General features: G+C 39.2%; 1 long non-coding RNA gene and 1 pseudogene across 1 annotated transcript in view; one reads left to right on the forward strand and one right to left on the reverse strand.

Moving 5' to 3' along the window:
- Positions 1–12,473, reverse strand: part of LINC02201 (long intergenic non-protein coding RNA 2201) — a 101,609-nt gene that overhangs the window by 43,977 nt on the left and 45,159 nt on the right. The window lies entirely within an intron of this gene.
- Positions 2,790–7,610, forward strand: ARGFXP1 (arginine-fifty homeobox pseudogene 1; annotated as a pseudogene).

Raw genomic sequence — 12,473 nt, forward strand, 5'->3', positions numbered from 1 at the left:
TACCAACAATAGTGACATAAAAAATGAGAAAGTGGGGCTCTTTTGGTGGGTTTGGTTAGGTATCTTTGGAATTTGGGTGCTCCAATAACATCTAAAAACTTATAAAAACTTAGAAAGAGTAGTTGAGGGGAGATATACTGAGGGGGTTGAGAATCTGTTGAAGCAGAACAGAGTGTGAGTCCCCTCCAGAAAGAATTTTGGGTTCTATTTAAGAAATATTGAATGAGTTCCTAATAGTGCCAGGGACTGTGCCGGGCATAGTAAGGAAAACAAATATACAAAACAGATCCCTTAAAAAGTTCAGCATCTAGTAAGTTTCTCGTTCTGCTTCTATCACTTATTTGCTGTATAACCTAGGGAAATTAACAGTTCGGGATTGTTCATTTTGCTTCTATTCTGGGAATATTGCCGTGTACATGCTTAACCACTTAGGTGGTGGTGATAGATTTGCCAGGTGTAAAATTTTTTAGCATCATGGGGGAGCTCATGGGAAATGTTATTATGAACAGTCATAAGGGCTAGTGGAGGCAAGGAATTAGGTGATAGCCAAAATCCCAGTCAGAGTGGAGGAGCACAACACATGGGAAACATTTAGAGAAGTCTCTGAGGTTAGAACCGAAGCCAAAGCCTTCCACTAGTGCGTCACTTTCCGACAGTGCAAGCCAGCAGTGGCCTTGAAGCACTCCCATGCTGAGCTTAAGCACTGGATCCAGAAGCCAGAGGAATAACATAGACATTTCTAAAAAGGAACCCTGTATAGTAGAGGACAGTAGAGAAGTGTGAAAATTGCAGGTATCTTCACACTGTGCTGGTGTTTAGTCATTCAGTTGATACTTATTGAGTACTTACTGTGTGCTCAGGGCTACTTTCTGAGTGTACAATAGTGAGCAAAGCAGACATGTTCCTGCCTCAGTTTATTTGCATTGTGATAAAGGAACACCTGAGGCTAATTTATTGAAGAAGCATGATGCCAGCATCTGCTTCCTGTAAGGACCTCAGACTGCTTCTACTCATGGTGGAAGACAAAGGGGAGCCCATGTGTCGTATGATGAGAGAGGGAGAAAGAGGGAGGAGAGAAGGTGTCAGGCTCTTTTTTAACAGTCAAATCTCCTGGTAACTAACAGACTGAGAACACACTCATTACCATGAGGACAGCACAAGGCTTTTCATGAAAGATCAGCCTCCATGACCCAAACACCTCCCACTAGGGCTCACCTTCAACATTGGGGCTCAAAATTTCAACATGAGATTTGGAGGCAACAAATATTCAAACTATATTGGTCCCTGATTCATGAAGTTTGTAGGCTATTGAGGAAGACCACTATTAATCAAATTTTTACTTGACTGTAATAGGTGCTATAAAAAAGAAGGATACAGTTCAGCGAGAACCTCTAAAAGGAGGGTTTTCATTTAGATTGAAGTATCCAAAGAGCTGCTCCAAGTGAATTATGTTTGAGCAAACAGGGGATGGAGGTGGCCTTCAACAAAGTCCTTTATTGAAGTGAGAGATGAGGGGTGGACCGCCAGACAGATCTATTCCTATTCCTGGTCACTAGAGCATCCAATTATAGAATCCTGAAGGAATAAAATATCAAAAGGTCCAAAAACACCAAAGGTGAACCCAGTGACCTAAATACAGAGAGAACAGGAAATTATTCAAAGTCTAGTCATGCTTATTACAGAGGCTCTAGCACATAGTGGTAAAAACCAGAGTCTGGTATCAAACCAAAACTGAAGTCTGGCATTAAACCCCATGTGACTTGGACAAATTAGTAACTCTGTGTAAGCCTCAGTTTCCTCCTCTGTAAGGTAGAAATAATAAGAGTCACATACCCCTGTGACTGTTAAGAGAATTAAATAAAATAATTCATCAAACTTATAGCACAATTTCTTACACTATCCTTTAATAAATGTTAGGTGTTATCATCATCTTGGATAAGGATTTTTTACTGAGGTATACACTGATCCAGATACCATAAAATTCACTCTTTTAAAATGTGCAGTTTGGTGCATTCAGTACATTCACAAAGTTGTACAACCATCACTATCTAATTCCAGAACATTTTTATCAGCTCAAAAATAAGCCTCATATCCATTAGACACTTCCCTTCCCCTTTCCCTCCAGCCCCTGGCAACCACTAACCTACTTTCTGTCTCTATGGATTTGTCTATTTCAGACATGTCATATAAGTGGAATCATGTAATATATGGCCTTTTGTGTCTACTGAGCATAGTGTTTTCAAGGTTCATTCCTGTTGTATCATGTATTCATACTTCTTTCCTTTTTATGGCTGAATGATATTCCATTGTATAGATATAATGTATACATTATTAGTATACAAGTTTTTGTGTGAACATATGTTTCCAATTCTCTTGGGTATATATCCAGAAGTGGAATTGCAGGATCGAATGGTAACTCTGTTTAACTTTAGGGGGAAGTGCCAAACTGTTTCCCAAAGCCGTTGCATCATTTTACATTCCCACAAGCAAAGCACGAGTATCCCAATTTTTCCACACCCTCACCAACACTTGTTATTGTCTGTCTTTTTTATTTTAGCTATCCTGGTGAGTGTGAAGTGGTATCTGGTTGTGGGTTTGATTTGCATTTCCCTAGTGACTAATGATATTTATTGAGCATCTTTTTCATGTGCTTATTGGCCATTTATCTACCTTCTTAGAAGAAATGTCTATCCACACATTTGCCCATTGTTTAATTGGGTTATTTGTTCTTTTATTGTTGAGTTGGATACGGATGTTATTTAAAAATTTTTGGACACACTAAGGAAACTGCATTTCCAGAGAGAGACACACCATGCAGGACTGAAAATGGTTAGTCTAAGGGGATTCATGACAGATTTCAAAAACCATGATGAACAGAATGGCCCCAGAGAATTTCCAGCCAGACCCTTTCATCAACAGGAATGATTCCAACATGAAGGTGATACCACCACAGGATTCAGCTAGTCCCAGTTTCAGTCTGTCATCCAAGCTGGAGTGCAGTGGCATGGTCTCCACTCACTGCAGCCTCAACCTCCCAGGTTCAAGTGATCTTCCCACCTCAGCCTCCCGAGTAGCTGGGACTACAGCAATATGGAGAAGGCATCAAGAACGTACTTCATTCACCCACCAACAGTATGAAGAGCTAGAAGCTCTGTTTAGCCAGACTATGTTCCCAGATAGAAATCTTCAGGAGAAACTAGCTTTGAAACGCAACCTACTGGAGTCAACAGGTAAAGGCTTGGTTCAGGAACTGGCAATTCAGATTGAAGCAGCAGCAGCAGCAGCAGCAGCAGCAGCAATCAGCAAAGCAAGCAAACCAGATCCTTTCATCCAAGAAGAATGTGCCCACCTCCCCTAGAACATCCCCAAGTCCTTATGCTTTTTCTCCTGTGGTTTCAGATTTCTACAGCTCCCTTTCTCCTCAGCCCTTAGACCCTTCCAATTGGGCCTGGAACTCCACCTTCACTGAGAGTCCCACAGGTGACTTCCAAATGCAAGATACTCAATGGGAGAGGCTGGTGGCCTCAGTTCCTGCTTTGTACTCTGATGCCTGTGACATATCCCAAATCATAGAACTGTACAATCTTCCTGATGAGAATGAGATATCCAGCTCTTCTTTCCACTGTCTGTATCAGTATCTCTCACCCACAAGGTACCAGGTAGGAGGACAGGGTTCCTCTCTGAGCACCTTTGCTGGTCCAGCTGTAGGCCTATCTCCCACACAAACCTGACCCAGTATGACAAGCCAAAGCTTTGAAGCCTACAGTCTAACAGACAGCCTGGAATTCCAGAAGACCTCCAATATGGTAGACTTTGGATTTCTCTGACCAGAGTACTAATAAATATGGACCATTTAGAAAAGAGGTCTTCTTGCCTCTTGTACATGACTTTTTTCTCCTTTGTCTCATTTTAACGCAAACATCTGGGGCTGTGTCTCTGATTTCCATGGAAATGTTGCAAAAAGATTTTTCCAAGTAGAGCTGGGCACTATGCAATCAGCCCCACAATTCTTCCTGAGAAGCCTTCCTAGTCCCTTACATGGCCAATGAGACTCCCAAATTCCCTTCCCAAAATTATCCTGATTTTCTAAAAGTAGAACAGTGGTTTTGGGAGTTATCCACTTTATTTTTAAAAAACTAGGTCTCTCTCTGTCACCCAGGCTGGAATGCAGTGGAACAATCATGGCTCACCAGAGCCTTGACCTCCTGGGCTCAGGTGATTCTCCCACCTCAGCCTCCTGAGTAGCTGGGACTACAGGTGCCCGCCACCACACTCGACTAATTTTTTGTTTTTTTGTTTGTTTGTTTTTTGAGACAGAGTTTCACACTGTCACCCAGGCTGGAGTGCAGTGGCGGGATCTCGGCTCACTGCAACCTCCACCTCCCAAGGTTCAGGCGATTCTCCTGCCTCAGCCCCCTGAGCGGCTGGGATTACAGGTGCATGACACCATGCCCGGCTAATTTTTGTGTTTTTGGTGGAGACAGGGTTTCACCGTGTTGCCCAGGCTGGTCTCGAACTCCTGACCTCCAGTGATCCACCTGCCTTGACCTCCCAGGGTGTGGGATTGCAGGCATGAGCCACCCAGCCCGGCCAATTTTTGTATTTTTTGTAAAGGCAAAATTTTGCCATGTTGCCCTGGCTGGTCTCGAACTCCTGGACTTAACATCATCCACCTGCCTCAGCCTCCCAAAGTGCTAGGAATACAGGAGTGAACCATCGCACCCAGCTGGGTTATCCAGTTTAAAAGAATTTTTTTTTCAAGGAAACCAGAGAAGCCATCATCCACTTTTCTGTCTGTATCATTCCGATTTTAGTATATGTGTTGCCGAAGTGAGTATACACTATCATCCACTTTTAATGAGAGAAAGTTATAAACTTACATTTTGTTTCCAATTTTTAGGGTTTTTTTTTTTTTTTTTTTTTTTTTTTTTTGAGACAGCACTCTGCCTCCAGGCTGGAGTGTGCAGTGGCACCATCTTGGCTCACTGCAGCCTCTGCCTCCTGGTCTCTAACAATCCTCCCACCTCAGCCTTCTAAGTGGCTGGGACTACAGATGAGCGCCACCATGCCTGGCTAATTTTTGTATTTTTAGTGGAGAAGGGGTTTCGCCATGTTGCCCCAGCTGAATTTGGGATTTTTTTAAAGGGGACTTTCAGTCCAAATTTGAGGGGAAATTACTATCACCACTAGTTTGAATATAGTACAATGAAAAAAATATATATATAGTACAATGGTCCAGACATAATAAGAGGTGTAAAAACTAGCACAGGAAGAAATAAAAACAGATTTTTGAAGGTGAGATGAGAAACTCACAAAATTAACAAAATAAATAGCCAAACTTTTAGAATGACATTTTAGCACATTTTCCAGCCACATGATCAATCTACAAAATTAATATTATTTCTGAACACCAGTAATAAACATAAGGTAAGTACCTCTCAATAAAAAAATAGAAAAGTAGCTAGGAATTCACAAAGAAAATTAATACCTCTGTGGAGAAAACTTCAAAACTTAAAAAAAGACATAGAAAATGTTTTGAATATGCTGGGTGCAGTGGCTCACACCTGTGGTCCTGGCACTTTGGGAGTCCAAGGCAGGTGGATCATGGGGTCAGGAGACCAAGACCATCCTGGCCAGAATGGTGAAACCCCGTCTCTACTAAAAATACCAAATAAATTAGCTGGGAGTGGTGGCACATGCCTGTGGTCCCAGCTACTCAGGAGGCTGAGGCAGGAGAATCACAAGGATTGAAATTATGCAGTGTGTTCTCCAAACACGATGGAATGAAATTAGAAATCAATAGTGGAAGAAAATTTGGGAAATTCACACATATGTGGATATTAAACAACACATTCCTAAATAACCAATGGTTAAAGGGGAAATCACAGTCTGAGCAACATGGCAAAACCCTGACTCTGCAGAAAATGGAAAATTAGCTGGGCATGGCAGCCAGAGCCCACGCTCCCAGCTACTCAAGAAGCTGAGGTGAGAGAATCTATCCCCTGAGCCACAGAGGTCGAGGCTGCAGTGAGCAGTAACTGTGCCACTGCACTCCAGTTTAAGCAACACAGTGATACCATCTCAATAAATAAATAAATAAATAAATAAATAAATAAATAAATAGAAGAAATCATAAGTAAAATTGGAAAACACTTCTAACTGAAAAAAAATAAAAACAGAAGCACAACAAACCAAAACATGGGATGAAGCTAAATCAATGCTTAGAAGGAAATTTGTAGCTTCAAATACTTATATATGTTTTTTAAAAAGGTCTCAGATCAATAAGTTTTATACAGGAAGGAAGCTGGCATAGTTTTATTAATATTTGTCAAATTAAACTTTAAGGCAAAACTTTTTTATTGAGATAGAGCCTTGCTCTGTCGCCCAGGCTGGAGTGCAGTAGTGCAATCTTGGCTCACTGCAACCTTCGCCTCCAGGGTTCAAACAATTCTCCTGCCTTAGCCTCCCAGGTGGCTGGGACTACAGGTGTGAGCCACCATGCCCGGCTAGTTTTTGTATTTTTAGTAGAGACGGGGTTTTGCCATGTTGCTCAGGCTGGCCTCAAACTCCTGAGCTCAAGTGATCCTCCCACCTCAGCCTCCCAAAGGGCTGAGATTGCAGGTGTGAGCCACCTTGCCTGGCCAAAACAGTTTTTTAGAAATAAAGTTTATTAGGCAACAAGAAAAGGAACAATTAACCTGAAATATATGATAACTCCAAACCTGTATATACTTAACAACATATACCCAAAATATATGAGGCAAATTTTAACAAAAATTGAAGTTCTTAAGAAAACTTCACCAATACATAGTCATAATGTGGTATATTCATACAACACACTCAATAATTGATAATAACAGTCCAAAGAAAGCAGAAAGAAGGAAAGCCTAGAGCAGAAATAAATGAAATAGAGAATAGAAAAGCAATAAAGAAAAAAATTATGAAATCAAACCTGGTTCTTTGAAAAGATCAACAAAATGGCAAACATTTAGCTAGATTGCCCACCACCCCCAAAAGACTCAAATTACTAGAATCAGAAACAAAAGTCAAGATTTTATTACCAATCTTATAGAAATAAAAATTATTAGAAAGAAATAATATGAATAATTGAATGCAAACAAGTTAGATAAATGAAATGGACAAATTCCTAGGAAGACACAGAATACCAAATCCGACTCCACAAGAAATAGATGTTGTGAATAGAGCTTGCTGTGGTATGAATGTGTCCCCCACAGCTCATGCGTTGGAAACTTAATCCCCAGAGCAACAGCACTGAGAGGTGGGACCTTTAAGAGGTACTAGGCAGAGCCCTCATGAATGGATTAATGCCATTATTGTGGGAGTGGGTTAGTTATCTAAGAAGTGGGTTCCCGATAAAAGGATGAGTTCAGCCCTCTTCTTCTCCAAACCTTTATCCCCATCCCCACCCGTCCCTCTCTCTCTCTCTCTTTCTTTCTTTCTCTCTCTCTCTCTCTTCCCTCCTCTTCTCCCTTCCTTCTGCCATGGGAGGATGAAATATTAAGGCCCTGGCCAGTTGTGGCCCCTCCGTCTTCCATCTGAGGCTGGAAGACTTCCCGGCCTTCAGAACTGTAAGAAGTAAATCTCTCTTCTTTAAAAAAAAAAAAAAAAAAAAAAATTGTTCACTCCCACTGATCCTAGAAAAAATCAGCTCTCCAAGAAGTAGTAGATCATTGTTACTGGCTATCCGCCTTAGCAAATAGCAGATGCCTCAGAATTGGGAGGCATGGAGGTTCTTTCATGGCTAGAAAGAGCACTATAAACATGTTCTCCCTACTGTCATCTCCCCTTCTCCAAACCTTGTCCTCTTCCTTCCTCATGTTGGAAACTCTATCTAGCCCCCTCTTTCTCACCTCTGAGCACTCATGTGTCAGTCTCATGGTGCCATCTTGAGACATTTAAGTATACAGGTAGAGTCCCGAGGAACAGGAAACTAGTGCCAGAGTTGTTTGGCCAACGACCTTTTACAAATACAGGGCCTGGTAGATGGCAAAAATAAGTACAAACACCTTCCCTTCTCTGATCTCTTACACTCACCTCTGAACCTTGTCAGTACTGAGGCTGGCAGAGAGGCACCATGAGGGGGGAAATCCCAGAACTAGTGGCAGAAAAGGAATTCTTACCCTGTCAGAAACTCTGTGGCTTTTAAGCAAGTTACTTTCCTTCTCCAAATTCAGTTTTCTCCTCTTGCAAAGTAAGGGTAATAACACATGTTCTGCCTGTCTTGCAAGATTTTTGTGAAGATAAAATGTGCTAAGGTATGTAAAAGGGCCTTGTAAAATGCTATATAAATGAAAGTACTATTACCCAGGACTAAGAACTCAACTTGTGTATAGCATCACAGTTGTAGTTGAATAAGCTCCAGGATATTAAATATCTTTATACATCACTTCTGGGTAACTTGTGCAATATATAGTTTATATATGGAGTGTAATTTTTCACTTGGGGTATTGTTTTACTGTGTAAGTCCTAGTTATTTACAAAGGCTTTATTTGAAAATGAGCTAACACGTTCAAATTCCCCACATTCAATTTATTCACACATAGACATGTTAAATAAGAACTTCTTATTTTTCTGCTCAGATATTTCATCAAACTAAAATAAATGTTTAATATTATGTATTGTAGGTGTTTCAATATCTGGACTAAAATTGGTGTATAATTTATTCTGAGCACTTATATAGTGCCAAGTAGTATGTTAAACATTATGTCATATAATCCTTACCGCATCCAAATTAGAGTGTCATCATTATTCCCACCATTTCTGAGAGGGGAAAACTGAGACTAAACAAAATCACATCACCACCTGGTAAGAGACTAAGCTAGGAATGGAAATATAGTCTCCTTGACCTCAGATCTCACCCTCTTAAACTCCATGTTTGTAATATGCCAAGGAGAAAAAGAACACTGAAGAACTGGAGGGTGATTCTTCTGTGTGCATTTGGACTATTTATTTCCACATTTCATTATAGGATTACCTTGGTCAGAACCCACAAAAGAAAACAAACCAAAACAATTAGAGAAGACAATTAATATATGAACAGGGTTGATTGCCATTTGAGATTTAGTTAAGAAATACAAAGAATTTACTGAGAGTAAGAATTGTTAAACAAAGATATAAATTATTAAAGGAAGTTACAATATCTACTTTTCTGAAGAGTGCTAAGCAGAGTAAATCTCATCTTTTATAGCCTCTGCTAAATTCAATTAGGAAACTAGAGTCAAAGAAGTGAATGACAAGTTAAATTATAGCCAACATTAGAATAGTATAGCATATGAATGTTTATAAATTAAAAAAATACTAAGGAGAAAAAAGGGAAAAACTAAAAATCCTGTAAATGCCAATAATGTTACTAAGAAAAAAAGAACAAAAAATACATTTTAAAAGTTACTAAAATTAAAAATAACTGAGGTTACCCAACATTTTTTATACCTCTAGATACAGCATACAAATAAATCAATGAATTTTTAAAACCACACCACACACACACAGACACACACACACACACACACACACACACACACACACACCAACTTTTAATCAGGTTATATAAAAAGCACCATGGGTATTTGTTTTGTATAATGGTATGCATTAATGTTAATAAAGGAATTAAATATGTACCTTATATGATAAATATGCATATATATAATTTTAAATAGTTTTCAGCAGTAAGGGTAGATATTTGTTGTAAAACAATAAAATCAATTCAAACTAAGTTCTATAAATATGCTTAGTGTCACACTCACCCTACACACACTACAGTAACTCCTGCATATTGGACCTCTTACATCTTTTATAGTGTTGATTTTGTTCTTTTTATTTTATCTTATCATCTTGCCAATTACAAACTTACTGTTTTTAAATTATCCACTTGGGTACGTGTACACCATGAAATACTATGCAGCCATAAAAAGGAACAAGATCATGTCCTTTCCAGGGACATGGATGGAGCTGGAAGCCATTATCCTCAGCAAATGGACGCATTAGCAGAAAACCAAACAGCGCATGTTCTCACTGTAAGTGGGAGCTGAACGACGAGAGCACATGGACACATTGGGGGAAACAACACACACTGGAGCCTGTTGGGGGTGGGGGAGGGAGAGCATCAGAAAGAATAGCTAATGGATGCTGAAGTTAATACCCAGGTGATGGGAGGTTCTGTGTAGCAAACCACCACAGCACATGTTTACCTATGTAACAAAACTGCACGTACTGCACATGTACCCTGGAACTTAAAATTTGAAGGGAGGAAAAAAAGGAAACAGCACATTGAAAAATCTTTAAAACATTAAAAAAATAAGTTATCCACTTGGTTCAGCCCTTTAAAAGAGAGGAAATGAACTTACTTTTATAAAGTAAAAGTTAAAATATTTATTGCTTCCAGATCACCAGTTTAAATTAAAAACAGGCAGTGGGGATATTTTTTAATCAAATGCTTTGTTCTATTTATTTTACCTGTTTCATGTTCAATACTGGATGCAACATAGATTCTAATATTCCAAGTTACAAGTGAACAATGAGTATAGAACTGAACCTCTAATGAGCTACGTAATTCTTTTCCCAGAATGTTAGACTACCGGTTTGCCCAGCAAGCCATAAAGAAGATTTTTCCGAAATCTTTCCAATTCAATACTTTCTTTGTATCAATTGTAGTTTCTTATTTCCATTCCAGTTGGAGAATTAAGTTTGAAAGACTGTCCAGAGTATTCTTTCTCAAAGTGTGATATGCTATCTTGTTTGATGAATGTCAGGAGCATATTAAACATAATCACACAGTAATGCATTTACTGTGGAAGCAGTTGAATCATTTAAATAGTTCCAACAAACCAACTGCCTCTGTGAATAAGAACTGATTCTATCAGCACTTCAAACAGGCCTAGACCTACTTGGCATACAAAAATGCAGGTAACTCATGACTAATTATCAATAGGTAGGAAACATCTTCACAGATGGTGGTTTTCACTGTACTAAAACATGCACTTTGGGACACATACACACACACACACACACACACACACACCTTAAGGATTTGAATCAGGGATAAATCCATTCTAAAATTTTCCAGTTTATTGACCCTTCCAGATATACTTAGGTGTAGAAAGAAAAGTCTAATGCTAAATTTTGCATGTACATAGCCTTCCCAAATACATTTTAGTAAAATAAAATTGACACTAATGAAAGCACCGATTTCAAATGTAGTAATTGGAGATAGAAAAAAATAAGGCATAAATTATCTTAAGAAAATAGTTAAGTTACCTATGTTTTCTCCACAATTTGGTTTACTCTTCATTTGGGGAGATGGGAGAGTGTGCTACATCAAAAGTATTCATTAAGCGCATGTTCTCACATGAACTCCTAAAACAAGAATTTAAGTGCCTTTCAGTGGGAAAATATTAGCCTCATTGTTCATTTCCCTTCCTTATCCAAGACATACCTCATAGGTATTATAGTTCCGGGTTTCTAATTTGCTTGTTTGAGACAAATGATGCCAGAATTCAGAAAATCATTTGGGGCCACTCAAAACATTTATAAAAAGGGCTTCCCTTCATGCTAAAAACTCTCAATAAATTAGGTATTGATGAGATGTATCTCAAAATAATAAGAGCAATTTATGACAAACCCACAGCCAATATCATACTGAATGGGCAAAAACTGGAAGCATTCCCTTTCAAAACTGGCACAAGACAGGGATGCCCTCTCTCACCACTCCTATTCAACATAGTGTTGGAAGTTCTGGCCAGGGCAATCAGGCAGGAGAAAGAAATAAAGGGTATTCAATTAGGAAAAGGGGAAGCCAAATTGTCCCTGTTTGCAGATGACATGATTGTACATATAGAAAACCCCATCGTCTCAGCCCAAAATCTCCTTAAGCTGATAAGCAACTTCAGTAAAGTCTCAGGATACAAAATCAATGTGCAAAAATCACAAGCATTCTTATACACCAATAACAGACAAACAGAGAGCCAAATCATGAGTGAAGTCCCGTTCACAATTGCTTCAAAGAGAATAAAATACCTAGGAATCCAACTTACAAGGGACGTGAAGGACCTCTTCAAGGAGAACTACAAGCCACTGCTCAATGAAATAAAAGAGGATACAAACAAATGGAAGAATATTCTATGCTCATGGATAGGAAGAATCAATGTCGTGAAAATGGCCACACTGCCCCAGGTAATTTATAGATTCAATGCCATCCCCATCAAGCTACCAATGACTTTCTTCACAGAATTAGAAAAAACTACTTTAAAGTTCATATGGAATCAAAAAAGAGCCCACATTGCCAGGTCAATCCTAAGCCAAAAGAACAAAGCTGGAGGCATCACGCTACCTGACTTCAAACTATACTACAAGGCTACAGTAACCAAAACAGCGTGGTACTGGTACCAAAACAGAGATATAGACCAATGGAACAGAACAGAGCCCTCAGAAATAATACCACACATCTACAACTATCT

The sequence above is a fragment of the Homo sapiens genome, chromosome 5 (genome assembly GCF_000001405.40).
Source record: "Homo sapiens chromosome 5, GRCh38.p14 Primary Assembly".
NCBI lineage: Eukaryota > Metazoa > Chordata > Mammalia > Primates > Hominidae > Homo > Homo sapiens.